Source organism: Homo sapiens, chromosome 3 (genome assembly GCF_000001405.40).
Source record: "Homo sapiens chromosome 3, GRCh38.p14 Primary Assembly".
Lineage (NCBI taxonomy): Eukaryota > Metazoa > Chordata > Mammalia > Primates > Hominidae > Homo > Homo sapiens.
The window spans coordinates 165,038,576-165,059,880 of NC_000003.12; the positions used below are offsets into that span (position 1 = coordinate 165,038,576).

General features: G+C 31.2%; 1 protein-coding gene across 4 annotated transcripts in view; it reads right to left on the minus strand.

Moving 5' to 3' along the window:
* Nucleotides 1-21,305, minus strand: part of SI (sucrase-isomaltase) — a 111,335-nt gene that overhangs the window by 59,678 nt on the left and 30,352 nt on the right. For all 4 annotated transcript variants that reach the window (XM_047448735.1, XM_047448736.1, NM_001041.4 and 1 more), the window contains 10 exons: nucleotides 20,593-20,724; nucleotides 20,388-20,507; nucleotides 16,619-16,732; nucleotides 11,216-11,300; nucleotides 10,552-10,669; nucleotides 8,266-8,437; nucleotides 4,484-4,600; nucleotides 2,365-2,519; nucleotides 1,312-1,396; nucleotides 503-559 (listed from right to left, as the gene is read on the minus strand). In XM_047448735.1, coding sequence (XP_047304691.1) covers nucleotides 503-559; nucleotides 1,312-1,396; nucleotides 2,365-2,519; nucleotides 4,484-4,600; nucleotides 8,266-8,437; nucleotides 10,552-10,669; nucleotides 11,216-11,300; nucleotides 16,619-16,732; nucleotides 20,388-20,507; nucleotides 20,593-20,724 — 1,155 coding nt within the window. The remainder of the gene's footprint in view (nucleotides 1-502; nucleotides 560-1,311; nucleotides 1,397-2,364; nucleotides 2,520-4,483; nucleotides 4,601-8,265; nucleotides 8,438-10,551; nucleotides 10,670-11,215; nucleotides 11,301-16,618; nucleotides 16,733-20,387; nucleotides 20,508-20,592; nucleotides 20,725-21,305) is intronic.

Genomic DNA, 21,305 nt, shown 5'->3' on the forward strand with positions numbered 1-21,305 from the left:
AATATTGCTCAAAAGGTCTTGTTCAATTGAAAAAATGGATGGTGTATTTGAGTGCTGTTATTTTGCCTCTTCAAGGTTGAAATAAAAGCCTTTTTCAAATATTTGAATATACCATATAAAAACAAATATATAAGACTAGCTCAGTACTCAAGTCTTCTGGCAATAAGATAAATATGTAAAATAGGAAAAAGCATTAAAATAAGTTGCCACTCCTTCCTAAATTACTGCTAACCTTTTATTTCCAAAATTTAAAAATAAATAATATCTCTTTATGCTAAATAATATAACTTCATATTTGAGTCTAGCTCATGTGCAACAAAGGGTATACTTACACAAATTTTAACACATTTTTAAAGTCTGAAATTATTATTTTTTATAGTAATGACAGAAATTCTAAAAATATGTATGCTATGTAGTTAAGTTTCTATGGAATTAAGTTTCTATGTAGAAGTGTTTGAAAATATAATACTTGTGAGTCCATTAGTATGTTAAGGTTACTTACAGATTCATAATCATACCAAATAGCATCAGGGATGTAGGCACTCACAGTATCTGCTCCCTAAAATAAAGATAATATGTATTTTTTAATTTCAATTTTTAACAAGGAGGATCTTATCAAATATTAAGTTGGGTTTTCATAGTCAAGGGAAAAAAACTTTATGTTGTTACACTCCAATATTTCCTATAGATAATAATCAAAGGGCTATTTTATTAGCTTTAGATAATATCATATTGTAAAACTTAAAAAAGCAAAGAGGTAAATAAAAAAGTAATTTAGATAGCAATTAAAATAATGCATGCATATATGTGTATTGTTATAAAACACATGGTCATTGTGAATGTGAATATGTTTATTTCTGTATACCTCAATGGACACATGCACCTTTTAAAAATAGGTAATAATTACCAACCCACTCCAGTGTTTCTCCAACATTTTCATCTGATCAGCGAGTTTTCCAGTTCCTCTTTATTTACAATTGAGCAAAATTTCAATGTATATGTCTACTTAAATGAGAACTCTTTGTTATTATGAATTGATTTTGATTTGATAATACAGTTTTTTTTTTCAGGAGAAAAATAACTTCATACAATTTTCTTGTCCCCAGTTAGATATCACATATTTGGTAAGCAATCTACTTAATATTTTTATAACATTTTGAAATTTGTGTCACATCGTAGAATTCCAACTTGATGTTTATCAGCTTGAAACAGTCCACTGAGTAACATCTATTATTCAGATGTTTTGTAATGTAGGGTCGATTTAGTTATACAAAGTTCAAACAATAAGGTTATTAAACCTGTAGAGCCTACCTGTTTTAGAACAGGAGTAATAAGTAATGCAGGGCCCCACAAAAACTCAGTGTCCTCAATCCAGCTGTTCGTATCCTCATAAAACCTAAGAACAATGACAATGTTTAAAGTATAATAATGAAAAAATAAGTTTATCCAAATTCCTGGTTCAGTTTATCTTTTCAGTTTTTTCCTGGGAATTGTTGTTATCTTGAATTGTGCTTGTTTCAGATGACATTTTCAATTCATGGTTCTTACATCCTTTATTGTTCATCTGACACTCAGGAAGGAAGGGAGGAAGGGAAGAAGGAAGAAGGGGGGAGTAGAAGAGGGAGAAAGGAAAAGGAAGAAATGAAGGAAAGAAGGAGGGGAGGGAGGATAGGAGGAAGGGATGGGAACAGAGGGAAGGAAAGTAGAAAAGGGGTAGGGAAGGGAAGAAGGAAGGAAGAAAAGAGAGAAGGAGAAAGTTTATCTCATACTCAGAAAAATCTATCACAGATGACAAGGTTACTTTTTATTTATACAAAAATTCTTCTGTTAAATTATTTTCTCCTATAAGATAGGTTCATAAAGTATCGGAAATCTTTCATGTTCTACTTTCTTCACTTAACTTTTTTGTGGTAAGCTCTAGTTTTTACCTGAATTTAAAAGGATCTTTAAGTCATCACAGAAAGGCCCTGCTCTGGTCAAAGATACATGCAAAGATGAGCACAATTTCCCTTTTTTGTAAGTTTTATACTCTACTCTTGATCTATATTTAGTTTATACTTTCAATATTTAGTTGATGTATTTTTAAAAATTCTATGCTTAATCTCTTTACTGATATAATATCCTAACATATTTTATATATCTTTTCCTTGTAAGTTCTATTTAATTCTCTCATTTCTACCTAAATATTGTCCAATTAATTATATTTACTGGCATCATTATATAGCTCTTCAAATCATTTACACCAATGTAAAAACAAGCAGCAGAAGTTTAATTGATATCTTGATTTACCTCCATTAAACTTTTCTGTGTATGTTTGAACATACTTTAAAAGGTATTATTATAATTATTGTACGTAGTACTCACTCATGAAGAACTGGTCTTGCTACTGTTTCTCCAAACACATGGGCTTTATAAAACAGAGTGTAGAGGAAGGGTAATAAGGTGTAGCGAATAGTTAAATACTGCCTTGATGATTTAACCAAAAGTGAATTCTGCCCAAAAAATGCAGGATCCTGATGCTGTGAGATAGAAAGAGAAATTAAAATAAGAAAGCTAAAGTATGAGTGAAAATTAAAGTAGAAGCATTTTAATCTGCTTTTTAAAGCAACTACATAAATTTCAGCTTGTTTATGAGAAATTAAAATTATTCCTATTTCATCATCAAAGTGTCTGAATGAATATTTCTAGGTTTTGTTATATATTTTAATTAAACTTAATTTTGAAGTGGACATTTCAACATATTTAAAGCGTTGCCACAGAAAAAATAAATTTTTTTTTTACAAAATAGAATTTTTATCTTGTAAATCAATGTTTCATGCTTCCTTGTACCCACAGCCTTTATCATGGAATGTTGTAATCCCTACCAGTGAAGGTGGAGGGTGCCTACCCAAGCTTCGATGTGGCGCTCAGTCATGCAAACTACTCTGGCCAATAGGATGTTATTATATGTGACACACTAAAGCAGAGGCTTGAAATGGGCTTGCCTAAGGACTTACTGTCTTATCCCATTGCTATTAGAATTATCACAGATAGGTTGCTGGCTCAGGAACACAGTGAACAGAGCTACCTGGACAGCCTGTAGACTTACAATTTGTAGTGCAGCCTCTCTACTGAGCTCAGGGTAGATAAGTGACTCCTTCAGCCAAGTAACACTGATATGGACAAGCCTGTTTAGACCTCTTGCTTTGGATAACAATATTAACTGAAGACCTCAACTACTGTCTCCCTGAATCCACTATTAAGTTTGCACTGAAAACCATGTTTCCCAGTGCTGCTCCCAGCCTTGAATGAGCATAGTAAGAACACCATGCAGGCCTATTCTTGGGAGATGCAAGAAAGGTCAGTGGTCAACTTTCCCTGAAGGACTCCCCACTCACTTGATTGAAACTTGGTTAGAACTAGGCGCAATTCGGGATTCTGCCTACCAAACCACCTTCCTTCCCTTCATCTTCATCAAGTTCAGACCTGAACGGTGGTCTGCAGGCTCTCCTCATTTTCTCATGCCCACTCCCTTTGTCATTCACATTATTTCACCAATAAATTTCAAAATTTATTTCTGTCTTATCATCAGCATTTTGGAGAATACAAGTGAACGCAGAGTGTCATGTAATTTCTATCAAAATCTCCCATGGACACACATTTTCTGAAAGTATCATTTCGGTGTATTAGGAAGAAACTAATCTCCAATTTGTACCTTTTAATTTTTTTCCATCATGCCTCCTTCCAGGCTGAGCTCAGTAGTTGTCCCTCTTCTCAAACACAATATAAGCCCTGTATGCAACCAGTGTGTGAACACTGAACGGTTTCTTAACCAACAGATACTTAATTGACTTAATGGTTTAACTGAATTTTACTATTCTCTCCGAAAAACATGCCTATGATCATGAGCCCACAGTATGCTGAGTTCCCACGGCTGGTAGACTAGCTTTGTATTGTCTGGCACTTCTGCTCCTACCAGTCCAAAACCGTGTTTTAAAAGTGTTAGTTTTGTTTTTGTCTCTATGCCAGTTCTATTTATTATTGAAAGACGCTGGACTCTAATTGTTTTGTGACTATCTTTAAATTCTTGTTTTACATGAACTAAACACAAACTCAAAATCCATGACAGTATATTATAACTTTTCTTTGTATAAAAGTTACCTGGAAATTACATTGTTAGAATCCAAGAATTCATACTCTAAAAGCTTTGGCTCTACTTTAAAATACCGGTAACTTAATATACTTGTACAGTTATGCGTTAGTCTCAACTAAAATATTTGTGCTGTGAATACATTGCATTTCATGATTTCCTTATTTGACCGTTTTTTAAAAAATGTAAAAATATACAAAATATGTATAGGACTTGAGAGAGGGACTTCTAACAATGTCTTATGAATTATGCTACAATCTTTCAGACCATATACTCTATAGATTTAATTTAAGTACATTAATAAAAACTATGGTTGTTTTTTATTTCGCAACATGGAGAACAAGAGGCTCTTACTTCATATCCGTCAGAATTATGGTTTCTGGAAAATGGATAAAATGCCCCAAGTTGCATCCATCTTCTGCAAAGTTCTTCTGTGGTTTCAGCCACAAATCCACAGATGTCTGCTCCAACCTAAATAACAAATATATTTACTATTTATAATGTTAAGATTCTCAAATTTGCCTAGAGCATCACACTGTATGCCTCAACTGATGAATGTGCCTTATATACAATTTGTTTTACTCCTTTTATATATGCTTCCTTAAACCAATTTATTTTCCATTTTTGCTCTATCCTTGTCTCTAGTTGCATTATTTTATATGTTCTTTCCTTCATTGTCCCTTTATGCATTTTCTTATCCTTTTGTATTTACATTTTACTCATTTTTTATTTTGATGTTCTCATTAATTCATTGTAAAAGATGAAATTACTGTATTAAAATATGTTGGTTGCTTCTTAATCCCTAACTCAACTTCTTTGATTTGATTTTTCTTATTTATAATATAATATGTAACTGTAGGAATAAAATAACAAACTGTGACCATGTGTTCATGTTGAGCTTTGAAATTAATTATTCTGAATAAAATTGAGCTTTGCCCGATGTGTACCCATGTAAGACTGCATTATCCTTATTCAAGGACTCTCCAGAAAATACTATCTTGAATTTAGTGTTTACCATTTACAAACATTTCTTTATTTTTTCTGTGTAAGTATATATGTATCTATAAACAATATATAGCATTGTTTTGCATGTTTTCTTAACAGTATAAATGACATGTTGTATGCATTATAATGTAATTTCCTTTTTGTGTGAAATTCAATTATATTAATGTCACTCTAGTTCTCCAGTATATGGGAACTCATGACTATAAAAATTCTTCCGTGAAATTTATATATAGGCTGAGCATCCCTAATCCAAAAATCCAAAATCTGAAATACTTCAAAATCCAAAACATTTTGAGAGCCAACATAATGCCAGAAGTGGAAAGTTCCATACCTTACCTCAAGTGACAGGTTGCAGTCAAAACTGTTTCCTGAACAAAATTATATAAAATTACCTTCAAACTATGTGTATAAGGTGTATATGAAACATAAATTTGCTCATTTAAGTCATTTCATTACATATATGTAAATATTAAAATATCTGAAAATACCTGAAATCTGAAACTCTTCTGGTCCCACACATTTTGGATAGGGGTTACTCACCCTGTATAGATATCCTTGTGAATATGTAAAAAACATATTCTTATTCTATGGTGTACATACATAGGATTATTTTTCTGGTTTACTTATAATGTGCATTGTATAATCGGAACTGTTTGTAACCATTTGCAAGCACTATATAGCACACGAAGATTCCCCTTCTTCATTTTCTTGCCAATTCTTGATATTTTCAGACAAATTTTATCACCTTTCTTCATAAAATATATCTCACCACAGTTTTTACTTGCATTTCTCTGATTACAGGGAAATTGAGAAGTTTTTCATATTTTTATTGGGTCCCTATAGATTACTCTTTCTATAGAATTGCCTGTTTATATCTTTTACTTATTTTTCTATTGTTCTTAATTTTTACAGATTTAAGGTAGGCACTTCAAATTGAATATCATTTATAGACTATGTGAATTGAAAATAACATTTCCTGGTGAGTTGCTTTTAATTTTTAACTTTTCAAATGTTCTTTTGATGAACAGAAGTTTTCATTTTGTTGTAGTCAAATTTATGTATGTTTCTCTTAAGATTTATTCTCCTTGTATTCTGCTTAAGAAATTATTTCTCTAACCTGATGTCATAAATTTACCATTTTATATTTTCTTCTGAAATGGATAAAGTTTATTTTACACACATAGGTCCCTTAATCTATCTGGGACTGTTTATTGTGCATGGTGTGAGAAATTGACACATTTTATATTGTTTCCTAAATACTGAGTCAATAGTCCATATAAATAGTTGATACTTCCCTTCACTGCTGTCATTTAACAAATTATACATGCATGGGCCTGTGTCTTATTTTGCTGTGTTAATCTATTTGTATATCCACAGTCCAGTATCATTGTGTTAATAACTACAGCTTTATCTGGTTAGAACTAATCCTCATTCTTTTTCTCTACTTCTTTAAAATGTATTGTTTTCCATATGAAGTTTAGAGTCACCTTTTATGTTTCCCAAAATCCCTTTTATTGTTTAAATTGGAATTCCACAAAATTTTGATAACATTTTGTAGAGAATGCCTATTCCTAATATATTGAGCCTTCTTATTATTGAACAGGGTATATCTTTAATTTACTTAGCTATCACTTATATTTTCTCAAAAAGTCCTACATTTAGTTTTAATATTGACTGTTGGTTACAGTTTATTAATTGGTTGCTATAATAAGTGACACCTTATACTAAAATACATTTGAATATTGCTTGTTTTTCCTTCTTTTTTTAACAAATATGCTATAAATTGATCTATTTTATTAAAAGTTTTGAAGAGCCACCTTTGTATTTTAAAATTTTTCCTCTAGAGATTTTGTTTACATTGTATTAATTTTTTCTCTTATTTTAATTACTTACATCTTTCTTTAGGTTTATTGTTTCTCCTTTTCCACTTTTTAAATTCATGCACTTCACTCACTGTTCAGCGTTTCTTTCTTTTTAAGTATTTAAATCAGTAAGTTTTTCTTTAAATATTAACAGCTGAAATTTCCCAAGATTTAATAAGTAAAATTGTTAACAGTTAATTCTTAGGTTGTTTTTTTTTTTCAATTCTATTCAGTTTATCTTTTGACTCATGAATGAATTTGATAATATGTTTTTCAATTTTTTTTTTTTTTTTTTTTGAGATAGGGTCTCAAAAAAGTGAGTCCCAATCTTGGCTCTGTGCAACCTCCACCTCCCAGGTTCAAACGATTCTCCTGCCTCAGCTTCCCAAGTAGCTGGGACTACAGGTGCCTGCCATCATGCCCGTCTTTTGGTATTTTTGGTAGAGACAGGGTTTCACCATGTTGGCCAGGCTGGTCTCAAACTCCTGACCTCAAGTGATCCACCTACCTCGGCTTCTCAAATTGCTGGGATTACAGGAGTGAGCCACCTTGTCCAGCCTATTTTTCAATTTTCAAACACAAGATTGTGTGTGGGGGTGTTACTTTTATTGATCGGGTTTTTGGTGTTTGTTTTATTTGTGCATATGAAAGAAAACAAATCACTATAGTTTTATAATACCTTCTACATTATTTTTGTTATGTAGTGTCTCTCTTTAGTCTTGAATATCAATATTGGATGCTATGTTTTTGTTTGATAGAGTTAGACTTCTCAGATATTTCATGTCTACAATTCCTAGTACACATTTTCTCCACTTTTGAAATTTTAAACGTTTTTTTCTGTTCTTATGTTTTATATATATTGTAAACAAAAGATTATCTTTTAAAATCTAAACTGGTAATCTAATATTTTAAGTAGACTTAGACTTCTGACATTTATTTTTATAACCAATGTATTTGAACTTTTCTTCACCATCTTATTTTTTTCTTTACATCTTTCATATAAGCTTTTATATGCTGTTTATATTTATATTTGTTTTCCTCAATTATCTTGATTTCATTGAATTTTATTAGTTCTACATTCCCACTTTAATGGTTGGAAATTATAGATACCATCTGTATTCTTATTTTCCTCATAAACTCCATAAAAATAAAAAACTGAATTATTTCTGTAACATGCCTTTTGATCATTTTACTAAAATTAATTAAGATTACATTAAAAATTAATGTAATTGTAGCTTTTATGAGTAACACTCTATGAAACTGTCTTACCAAAGGTATTCCAAACAAACTGAACTCCAGCATTCCAGTTATAGACCATTCCATTTGTTCCCATGAAGCAGTATTGTCTCCTAACCAATGCGCAGCATGTCTTCCAGATCCAGCAAATGTTGAGCGGGTAAGAATGAAGCTTCTCTTATTAGGAAAAACTTTTTGTACAGCTCTAAAAATAAAACCAAATTAACAAATACAATTTATTTTAAAAAATAAAGTTGGTATTTAAATTCTAAAATTTCATAATTCCAAAGCCATGTGATATAGTTTGGCTGTGTCCCCACCCAAATCTCATCTTGAATTGTAACTTCCACAATTCCCAGATGTTGTGAGAGAAACCCGATGGGAGATGATTGAATTATGGGGGTGGGTCTTTCCTGCACTGTTCTTATGATAGTTAATGAGTCTCATGAGATCTGACGGTTTTAAAGAAATAGGAGTTTCCCTGAACAAGCTCTCTCTTTGCCTGCTGCCATCCACCTAAGATGTTACTTGCTTCTCCTTGTCTTCTGCCATGATTGTGAGGCCCCCCCAGCCATGTGGAACTGTAAATCCAATAAACCTCCTTCTTTAGTAAATTGCCCAGTCTCAGGTATGTCTTATCAGTGGCATGAAACTGGGCTAATACACCATGCCATAATATTTATAATAATTATGTCAAAATTTTATATCAATTTTGTATTTTGTTATTAATATTTACTTATTTAAATATATTCTGGTAAAATACAGTGAAAAGGAATTTTTAGAAATCACTAAATTTTGAATGACTCCAATCATCCTTTATCAAATTACATAAACATGGGCATTTGGTATCCACTCAACATTTGGTTTTGAAATATAATATTTAAAGTAATTGAATTCCCTTATAAATAGAAAATATTATACCTGAACTTGAACCTAATACATTTTTTGTAGTGTGATGACTCCAATTATATATTTATTTCGACATTTTCAAATATTAGCAGGCAAGGTTGGGATAAAACTTACATAATTAAGAAGATTTTTTTTTTATTTTCTAGAAGTTAACCACTGTCCACAACTACAAGCATCACTCACGTTACCTAACTATTATTGATAACATTTTCATAATTGGAAACAATTAGGAAATGTGTAACTACATTCTCAAGTGCTTTTCCATGTTATAATCTTTATTATATTGAAACATAGCCTGTTTTTTCTTTCCTAGGATATATTAACTTAAACACTGCTTCATGTAATACTCCATTGAGTTTACAAAGTAAATTGAAGTAACACCATGAATACAGTGGTTAAGAGTTCTGGTATCAGTATGATTTAAGACCATAAAAATACAAATTTGAATAAACACTCAATCACAACTGTTTAATTATGAGAAAATCGTAAGTATATTGAGAATAGTATTTGGTTTACTGACTATTGTATCACAGGACCATAAACAATGCTTGAAAATTAGTAGATAATGAACATATGATTGTTTTCTTCTTTTGTTTTGTATCATATTTTATAAAAATGTATTAGAAAATTAGTTAGAAGGATATTAATTAGAAAACTACATTTTAATTAAAATACTTCTTTTTGAAAAATAGTTAAAGACCTGTTCTTGGGGCAATATTTTCCCAGGCTAATTGTGAGATGCAAGCTTAAAACACAGTTATATTCAGAAATGGTAAAATTTTGAAGGATAATTTAAATCTAGGAGTTACAAAAAAGAGTCTTAGTTAAATATATATATACATATATATATGTATATATATATATATATAGAGAGAGAGAGAGAGAGAGAGAGTCATTCTTTTTTGTTTGTTTGTTTTTGGAGACTGAGTCTAGCTCTGTCACCCAGGCTGGAGTGCAGTGGCATGATCTCGGCTCACTGCAACCTCTGCCTCCTGGGTTCAAACTATTCTTCTGCCTCAGCCTCCGAAGTAACTGGGATTACAGGTGCCTGCCACCTCGCCCAGCTAGATTTGTACTTTTAATAGAGACTGGGTTTCGCCATGTTGGCCAGGCTGGTCTCAGACTCCTGACTTCAGGTGTTGTGCCTGCCTCGGCCTCCCAATGTGCTGGGGTTACATGTGTGAGCCACTGCACCCAGCCTACCATGTCATTCTTAATAAATGAGTCCCAAATTCATGAATATTAGTAAGAGAACTGATATTTTGAATGCCATAACTTTTTAGCAGGCATAAAATATTATCTTTCTTTTTTCAACTTTGCTATTTCCTAATTATGAATACATTGATAAATTATCAAAAACATTTTTAAGCAATAAATATGAAAGAAGTCTTTGAATGAAATTGCACTTACTGCTCTGTGGCTATAGCCATGCTGTATCCATAGAGGCTATGAACATCATACTGTTTACCCCAGTTCTGCACAGCATCCATGCAAATTGTTTTGGAATACATGAGTTTGTCAAGAATATCTTTGAGAAAATACATAAGAAACATTTCTTATATTTTTCCATTATAAAAGTTATATATTTTCCATCATAAATGTCATATTCCTTTTCATTTGTGTTATGAAATTCCATATTTGGTTAAAAACAATGACAAAGGACAATCCAATTAAACCTAAAATAAGTTCCAATTAGGTCCTCATCTTTCACTCTTGCTAAACTTGGATTAACTATTAGATTTATATTTACATTGGCAAATACTCTGTTTCCTAACTTCGATAACAAATAATTTAACTTTAAAAATAACCTTTAACAATATAGAAATATACCTATACCAAACTATATTGTACATCATATATTTATGGACCAATTTTAAAGCCTTATACTAGATTTGTCTATTTAAATATAATCCTAGGCAGAAAATATTTGTCTGAAGAAAAGATAAACAAATTGATTTTATGGTTTTAGAACTATACCAAAAATTGTAATTTAGAAATATATGTTAGAAATTACTAGTCAACTACAAAATTATTCTCAATTAAAACAGTAATTAGATAACCAAATAAATTTTACCAGGAGTAAACGGTGGATAATTCAATTTGTTTACATTACATCCTTTTGTTGAACCTTGAATAAAGCTGGAAACTTCATTCATGTCCTGAATGGATACAAAATGAAGAACAGCAGATTTTACATAATTATAAATCCTATTAGCAGAAACTCTCTAGTTGTTTGAAAATGTTTTATATAAGATAACCATAATGCTCGTTAATTCCTAGAAGATAAATATAAGCTACCAACCTAAAAATAAACAGAATGTCTATATCAGATAAGTATCTTAGATGGGATAGAGAGATTTTAAACAATCAAAATGTAGTTCATGTGTCTAGTTTTGATTATATATAATTACATTAATTATAAGTATTAAGTCATTTCTAAATAGCTGTTAGTCTTCTCATTATGAGTCCATTAATATACACATTCCTTGCATATTCATTGATTCAATATGTTTGGTTTCATTTAAACTTACCTAGTTTCTATGATGTGCTAAGCACATTGCTAGCAGCAAAATTTGCCTACCAACAGCTCCTATACACTCATAAAAGAATGAAAGCTGTAAAAAGGCAAATAGCCTTTAGTATTTTAATTAAAATAGTTATGGCTTCACAGAATCTCTGAAACATTCAGAGAACCCCAGGTGAGCATGATCACACTCTGAGAACCAAGACCTAAACATCTCTTGAAGAAATAGTGGTGGGATATTATGTTCATGGATTTTCTAGCCATTTTAACATAGGCCCCAATCTTGTCCCACTGCCTGCTAGCTATGTGACCATAACCCAGTTAAGTCTTTGCACTAAAAAAGATAAATTTTATAAAATCATATATCACAGTACATATACTCAAGAAATATGCATTTCATCTTTCTTCTCTGCAAACTGTGTTGAGGACTTCTATAAGCCTTATTTTTCTCATCTCTATAATAGTCTCCTTTCACATAAAGACATCACATTCAGTCACATCCTTGTCTGTGTTACTTTTATTTCTCTCAGAAAAAGTAGATTTTCTTAATTACATTTCCTTTTCCCCATCCACATCATGCCCATATTTTAAGACTCACTGCTTTTCAGCTTCTTGAATCCTTCCCCTCTTATTTCAGCTTTCAATCCTCCCTTTAACCTTAACACTCCTATATTAACTTTGCAATCATTAAACCTATCTTTCATACTACTTTCTGAGACTTCCCAGATAATATTTATTAACAGATTAGAAAATATCTGAGACCGATGGTGTCACTCAAAGACACTAATAAAATAATTTTTTAAACACATGTAATGGTGAATCATTTGTATTGTAGTCATTTGTTTCATAAAATTATAACTATAACTAGACATACTTATTTAGTTTGCAAAAGCTTCCATAAATATTGAGTTCCTCTGACCCAAGCACACTCAATATGATTATTCATCTCTATTATTCTCAAAATATTCTCATAAAAGTTTCTAACTATGGATATAAAAAGAAGCTAAGGAAATTTGATACATGGAATTGAAATGATAAATTAATGGTGCTCAAGGGAAAAAAGAATAGATTTGTTATCATGACACGTTTAATCGGTATATATTTCCACTTCCCAAATGTTTTCAGAGTAAGCAGAAATGAGAGAAATTAATATAGTTATTCCAAAGTACAAAAATATCTAAAGCTACATTGAGTTATTTTTTTGAAATTGTCTGGAATGTTATATTCAATTTTGTTTCCTGTGTCCAGTAGAAATTAATAATGGTATACCATAGTTACACAGCAAATAAGTGTAGGTAAACTACATTTTTCTTCATGATTCCGCCAATAACATTAAATTTTTAAAAAACTGCTGCTGAAATGTATAATTTGGGAATAGTGAGCTGCATTATTTTAAATTTTAAAAGAGTCTTTTTCTAAACAATTTTAACATCCGAATATATAATATAGTTGAGGAATTGCAAGGGTAAAACACTCATCTATGATATTAATATCATTTCTATTTGAGTTAAATATGTGTAAATTTGCCATAAATTTCACAAAATCTTTCATCAATGAAAGTAAACATTATTATGTAATTTAAGGATGAAAATTTTTTTTAGAAAATAATTAATTGGTTTTACTGAAAATAATTTTAAAAATATTTAAAAGTTTTATTGTATGACCATTTCAACATGATTGAATCAGAATGTGATTATTTTGCCAGCTCACAATAAAAGGGAAAATAGTTTTTTGAACCAAGAATATAAATTATTAACCTACTGAGGCAAAATTTTTTTTCATAATTTTAACCATATTTTACATAATACATGACATTTAATATTTTAGTAACCTTCCTTAAATATGTCTAAAGTATGTCTATATAGCAAGATTGTATTAAATTAAACTTACTACCCATATTTTAAAAGAATTTATCTATTGTAGTGTTTTTAAGTGGCATTTTGAAAATTATAAAAGCATTTTAATTCTCTAATTTATCCAAATGATTTAAGTGAAACTACAGTTATTTAATGTCATATACCACTGCATTAAATTAAGATTTTTAATATTACAACTAGTAGATTTGGAACATTGTAGTCATGAGGCAAAAGCCTCAGTGGACTGATAGTAATAAAAACATCTAAAGATATGTAGGTGTCATTCAAATCATCTTAAGTCTATTAAAAACTATTTTTTGAGGCCAAGGCGGGTGGATCATTTGAGTCCAGGAGTTCCAGACCAGCCTGGCCAACATGGCAAAACCCCGTCTCTACTAAAAATACAAAAATTAGCTGGGCGTGGTGAAGTGCACCTGTAATCCCAGCTCCTCGGGAGGCTGAGGCAGGGAGAATCTTTTGAACCTGGGTGGCGGAGGTTGCAGTGAGCCAAGTTAGCGCCACAGCACTACAGCCTGGGTGACAGAGCAAGACTTAGTCTCAAAAAACAAAAAAAAATCGTCAACTTTGTTTCTGAGAATGTACCTCAAGTTTCTTTAAAATTCCTTAAAAATTGTGATAGTGATCTGATGGCATTTTATACTCACATTTAAACTAAATCTAAATATATATAGCCCTATTTTTAAAAGAATTTGTAAAAGAATTTCATTTTTATAAGATTCACATGAAATGTAGAAAGAATATAACCAAATAAGCTTCTAGTTATTTGGATATGTAAACTTATTTGGGCATATCTTCTTATAAAATTTATGTTTCCAAATACTATATATTAAATTATTCAGTTTTTTCATTGAATAATTTTGCTTATTAGATTTTTAAGAATAGAACCAAAATAACAACAATGATATCAAAATATGCATATGTATTCAAAAAATGGAAATGGTATTTTAATTTTAAAAATATTGACTAACACTTTTGTTTTGAAATCATAGTTTTGGTCTTAATTACATTAAGTACAGTAGGCTTTTGTTTCTCAACTATTCGATTATCCCATAAATGATGTAAAAAAAGAGAATTCAAATTTATTATATTTTATACACAAAAACTATACTTCAATGACAATTAAGCTCACATCATTTCCCAAAGTGATTTTAATATTTAAACCTAAAATTCACAAATATTAGCATGGAAACTAAATTACAAATCTAGTAAATTATAAAACTATTTTTATACTTGACATAAATATTAAAACTTTATCAGTTGAATAACAACTTGTTTTAGCTGGATCAGAAACAATAATCTGAAGAAAGTGAAATAATTAGATAAACCACTTAGCAGTGTGATATGGCAAGTAGATAAGTAATAGCTAAAAGTAGAATATCCACTGTTTATCCATGATATATATTAGTTCACTGATGTTCACTGATCTTTGAAATTATACTGCTTCTTGTGTTTTTTGTTTGTTTGTTTAAGGCTTAGTTACAGTGCTTCTGTAGCAGTGTTGGAAATACTCTGCCTTTCTCAGATAACCTTCTCTCCCACACTTTGGAGGTGAATCAGGAATTTCAGTTCTCAATGAATGCAAGAAATGCAACACTCTCTCTTTCTATAACACAATCAGGCTCTGTCTCACTATTCCTACAGTATTATTTATACTTGTAACTTTACCGTAATCAAAGTGGCTCCTAACTAAGAAAAAAATAAAAGACTAAAGAAACTTTCAATATAGGTTAAATAATATAAGAACTAGAATTAAAAATAAAGCTCAAGATCACAGTAAATTTTTTTTATTTCTACCAATTGCTAGTTATTAGTGGTGTGATATCACTGATTTTATGTTAAATAACTGAAGGCTTTTCATCTTCATTTTGTTACTGTCATCATAGGAATCCTGAAGATTATGCTAATCCTTTACCCAAATCCATGTTGTCAGCAGAAACATAATCTTTCCATCTTTGTATTCCCAACAACATGTCTGATAGATACATGGTGCAAAATAAATATTTGCTAACTAAATGATTGATTGATTTAATAAATAAGTGAATAATTAGAATAATGATTGAATCAATAATGAGCACTTAAGGAAAATAGAGATGGTGTGGACCTAAAAACCAAAGAAAATATAGTCATCCTTAGTGTGTCCATTATGTACTTTTTCCAAATTCTTGCCAGTGGTAATTTAGTTTCTATCCCTAGCAGCAGGCCATCAATAACTACAGATACACAACTTCATTTAAAGAAACTCTTAAACACTTGTATTTTTTTTTCTTTTCTGAGACAGAGTTTCACTCTTGTTGCCCAGGCTAGAATGCAGTGGCACCATCTTGGCTCACAGGCAACCTCCACCTCCCGGGTTCAAGCAATTCTTCTGCCTCAGTTACAGGCATGTGCCACCAAGCCCAACTAATTTTTGTATTTTTAGTAGAGACGGGGTTTCACCATGTTGGTCGGGCTGGTCTCGAACTCCTGACCTCAAATGATTGGCTCACCTCAGCCTCCCAAAGTGCTGGGATTACATGCATGAGCCATCACACAAGACTGTATTTTTCTTTAATAAGTTTATGAGCAAACTAGGATTCTGTTTGTTGCTTTTTTGAGATATAGTAATACTTAACCTATTGCCAATTTTTATTTATTCTCTTCCATAGCTTACTAAAGAGAAGTCTCTAAAGGGCAGGGGCTTATTCAGATCATATTGCTGCTGTTGCTTGACTGTTGTCAACTTTAATAAATGTTTTGCTAATTGCACTGCAATAGGCTTATCACCAAATCTTATTAACTAATTTTCAGGTAAAGTATTAGTCATAAAGGAACAAAACCTTGCATACAGAAATAAAATTTATTCTATACAGTGTATTGCTAAAAAAGAAAAACCTTGATTGGCATTTTTTGTTTTGTTTTGTTTTCTTACTTATGCACACGATGGGTATATTTATCCATTCTGGGAAAAAACATTATAGTAGCTTTAAATTTTACATTGAATACATCAGAAAAAAATATTTTGTTGACTTAGTAATTTTTACAGATAAATAAGTCTATGGTCATTGACCAAAACCATTGGTTTAAAATAGCTACTTACAATCCAAAGTCCATCATATTGCACTTCTTGATGGAAAATACTGCATTCATTTGCCCACCAATCAATGCAGTTTGGGTTAGTGAAATCAGGGTATACTGTTAATCCTGGCCATACCTAGAAGAATAGATCATTCACATATATACATAAAAAATAGAAAAATAAATAAATGGAATTTCAAATTAATAAAGTTGAGAATAGTAAAAAAAAATAAAGTTATTCTACTTCTTTAGGTATATGTGACTCATATATAAATTTACAAGAATATCATGACTTTAAAATGCATTTAAAGAAGAGCAGTTAAAAAAAGGTGAAATCATGAAGCATTTAGGAAGAAAAAAATTATCAGAACATGGTATAAGGCTGCTATTTTGACTGTAAATTTGTTTTTAAGCATCCTTGTAGGATAGTTTAATACATACACAATAAATATTCTATATAATATATTTTATATCCCATAAAATAAAGCACATTAGCTTATTTCCAAAGGTGTATGCCTCCAAGCAATTTTAAAAACTGTCTTTTATGTTTATTTGTATGAATAAACATGAATATGATACATACTGGGCACTATTTCAAGTACTTTCATAATTACTAACATATAATCTTCATTAGAATTTTTGAAAGCAGGTACTATTTTTATCACCACTTACAGATGAGGTAGGTACTGTAATTAAAGTCATTTTGCAGATTAGAGAAGTGATGCCCAGAGAAGTTAAGTAAGTTGTTCAAAGTCAATCTACTAATAACAGGTACAGCAGCAATTTAAACCCAAACAGTCTTACACCTGAGTCCATGCTGTTAAACACTATGTGTATTATGCTGTCTTTTTCTGATTTAGGCTTCTTGAAATTATTTTACATTATTTGACTTATTACTTACAATAATCACATTAGGCAAGGAGAATTTAATTTCAGATAAGTTGAGCTAAATTATATTGTTTTGTATCCAAACATTTCAAATCGGCTGTCTGATCTGTCCATAAGGAACAAAGCTGGTGTTAACATGTGTTCTGTGAAATGTTAATTAAGGGTAGGAAATTGTGTGGGCTTTCTTTTTTTACAAAAGGAGTTCATAATTATTTAAAAGACTTTCACGGGAAACTTTAAGTTGGATGAATGTGATAAGAATGAAGCTTATGGCAGAGAGACAGAGCAAAATGGCTGAAAAGAAGCCTCCAGTGACCATCCCCCCCTGCAGAAGCATCAAATTGAACAACTACCCATACACAAAGAAAGTACCTTCCTAAGAACCAAATTCAGGTGAGTGATCACAGTACCTGATTTTAGCATCATATCAAGTGAAGAGTCATTGAAGAGGGTAGGAAAGAGAGTCTTGGATTGCATACACCACCCCTCTCACATTCCCCAACAGTGCCCATGGTGCATGGAGAGAGAATCTGTGCACTTTCTGAAGGGAGAGCAAAGTGATTGTGGTCTTTTGCATTGGAGCTCAGTATTGGCCTGCCACAGCAGAAAGTACAAAGGGGCAGAAATCAGCTTACACCCATAGGTGGAGCATTTAGAACAGCGCTAGCCATAGGCTATGAGTCTGCAAGAGCCATGGCATTATTGGGCTTGAGGTGCCTCCTAAAGCAGATACAGCTGCAGTTAACAAAGACTTAGATCACAAAACCCAAGTCCCTTAGAATACCCGGAAAACCTATGAATGAGGATGGGCAAAAACAAGCCTAGACTGTGAAGACTATTATAAATACCTAACTCTTCAGTGCCCAGACAGTGACAAACATCCACAAGAATCAAGACCATCCAGGAAAACCAGAATTCACAAAACGAACTAAATAAGTTACCAGAGACCAATCCTGGAAAGACAGAGATGTGTGAACTTTCAGACAGAAAATTCGAAATAGCTGTTTTGGGGAAATTCAGTGAAATCCAGGATAACGTGGAGGAGTTTAGGGTTCTATCAGATAAATTTAATGAAAAGATTGAAATAATTTAAAAGAATCAAGCAGAAACTTGAGCTGAAAACTGCAATGGATATACTGAAGAATGCATCAGAGTCTTTTAATAGTAGAATTGATCAAGCAGAAGAAAGAATTAGTGAGCTTGAAGACAAGCTATTTGAAAATACACAGTCAGAGGAGACAAAAAAAGAATAAAAAACAATGAAGCATGGCTACAAGATGTAGAAAATAGTCTCAAAAGTGCAAATCTGAGTTATTGGCCTTAAAGAGGAAGTAGAGAGAGAGAGATAGAAAGTATATTGAAAGGGAAAATGACAGGAAACATCCCAAACTTAGAGAAAGATATCAATATTGAAGTATAGGAAAGATATAGAACACCAAGCAGATTTAACCCAAAAGAGACTACCTCAAGACATTTAATAATTAAATTCCCAAAGGTCAAGGATAAAGAAAGAAGGCAAAAAGCAGCAGGATAAAGGAGACAAATAACATACAAAGGAGCTCCAATATATCTGGCACAGACTTTTCAGTGTAACTTTACAGGCCAGGAGAGAGTGGCATGACATATTTAAAATGCTGTAGAGAAAAAAAAAAAAAAAACTTTTATCTTAGTAGACTACATCCAGTGAAAATATCCTTCAAACATGGAAAAGAAATATAGCCTTTCTCAAGCAAAAGCTGAGGGATTTCATCAACACCAGACAAGTCCTATAAGATATGCTAAAGAGAATTCTTTGTACAGCATTGTACAGATCATCCAGACAGACAGAAAACCAACAAAGAAACATTGTCTTTAATCTTTATTATAAACTAAGTGGACCTGATAGATTTTTACAGAATATTGTATCCTATGGCTACAGACATTCTTTTTTTCAGCACATGAATTATTCTCAAGGGTAGACCATATGTCAGGCCAAAAAACAAGTCTTAAAATATTTTTTTTTAAAAAATTGAAATCATATCAACTATTTTCTTACACCACAATGGAATAAAATCAGAAATAAATAACAAGAATAACTTTGGAAGCTATATGAAAACATGAAAATTGAACAATATGCTCCTGAATGACCACTGGGTCAATGAATAAATTTAGGAAAAAATTTACAAATGTTTTTAAAACAAATGATAATGGAAACACAATGTACCAAAGTCTATGGGATAAAATGAAAGAAGTGCTAAGGGGAAAAATTATAGCAGTAAGTACCTACATCAAAAAAGTTGAAAAACTTTAAATAAACAACCTAATCATATGTCTTAAAGAACTAGAAAAGCAAGAGCAAACCAAACCCTAAATTAGTAGAAGGAAAGAAAAAATGATCAGAGAAGAAATACATGAAATTGAAAAACAAACAGTACAAAACAGCAACGAAATGAAAAGTTTTTTGAAAATATAAACAAAGTCAACTAACCTTTAGCTAGACTAAGAAAAAAAGCAAGGCCCAAATAAACAAAATCAGTGATTGAAAAGGAGACATGACAACAGATAACACAGAAATGTAAATAATTTTTAGAGGCTACTATGAGCAGCTATATGCCAATAAATTGGAATACCTAGAAGAAATGCATAAATTCTTAAACACATACAATCTACTAAGATTAAACCATGAAGAAATTTATCTGGTATATCTTTACATTTTTCATGACTTCTTATAAGAACTGTTTTATAAATTCTTGGAGTAGTTTCTTTGTCTAATATTTTTCTCCACAATTAAAATATAAAATTCAGACTTGAAAGCAGACATACACACACACACACACACACACACACACGCACATCCACAGAAACTTTATTATTTCAGAGAAGAAAATTTGAGCAACATAGTTTTAATAAATATCATATTTTACCTCTCCAATAATTGGTGTACTTCCATCTGACTCATTTATCCACACATGTTGTGTGTTTCCCCTCTCATAGGTTGCATATGTTGTTCCATTGGCACGTCGACCTATGGAAATTGCAGGGTCCTAATAATAGAAAGCAGAAACTGCAAAATCTATTAACTTACACGTGTAAACACTAAAAATGTATTAAGGTATAATTGATTATTACCAAGATGATGACATATTTCTGTCCATGGTCATGCAAATCTTGCACAAATTGAGGGAGTCCGTTAAACGCAACTTGATCATAAGTAAAGTCTTTCTTGTCTTCCATGTAGTCAATATCAGTGACCTGTGTATCCTGAAAGTTAGAAGATTGTATTTCAATACATAGTACTGAAAGAGCTCTCTAATCAAGTCAATCTTTAACTCCATTGAACGTGTATTATAAACATAACCCTTAAAAAATAAATGAACGTCCATCCTTTTCATTTCACTAAAGAAGCAATTGTACTGTTTGTAAACTGGTTTTTCTAATTATTAAGTACAAAAGCATTAAGTGATTATTCATATTTGTCAGTGATAATGACTAGAATGCATTGTTTTTATATACGTGGATTTCAACATACAAAAATCAAAAATACACTTTTCAGAAAATTTTTTAAAAATATGTAGATTCTAAAATTAAGGTCTATTTTAAAAACTAAATATGATTTTGTTTACAGTGGAATATGTATTCTGTTCTAGTATAACTAACAATTGATTCTTCAAAAGCATATATTTGTACTTTCAGGAGGCAAGGGCATTACATATGAGATAAAATATACTTTACAATTAAAAGGCAGCCTCTTAATTATATGATATAATGTATATAGTAGATACTCCTGACAATTTCCTACAGTTCTTATTATGTGACAATATTTAACTTGATATATATTCCCA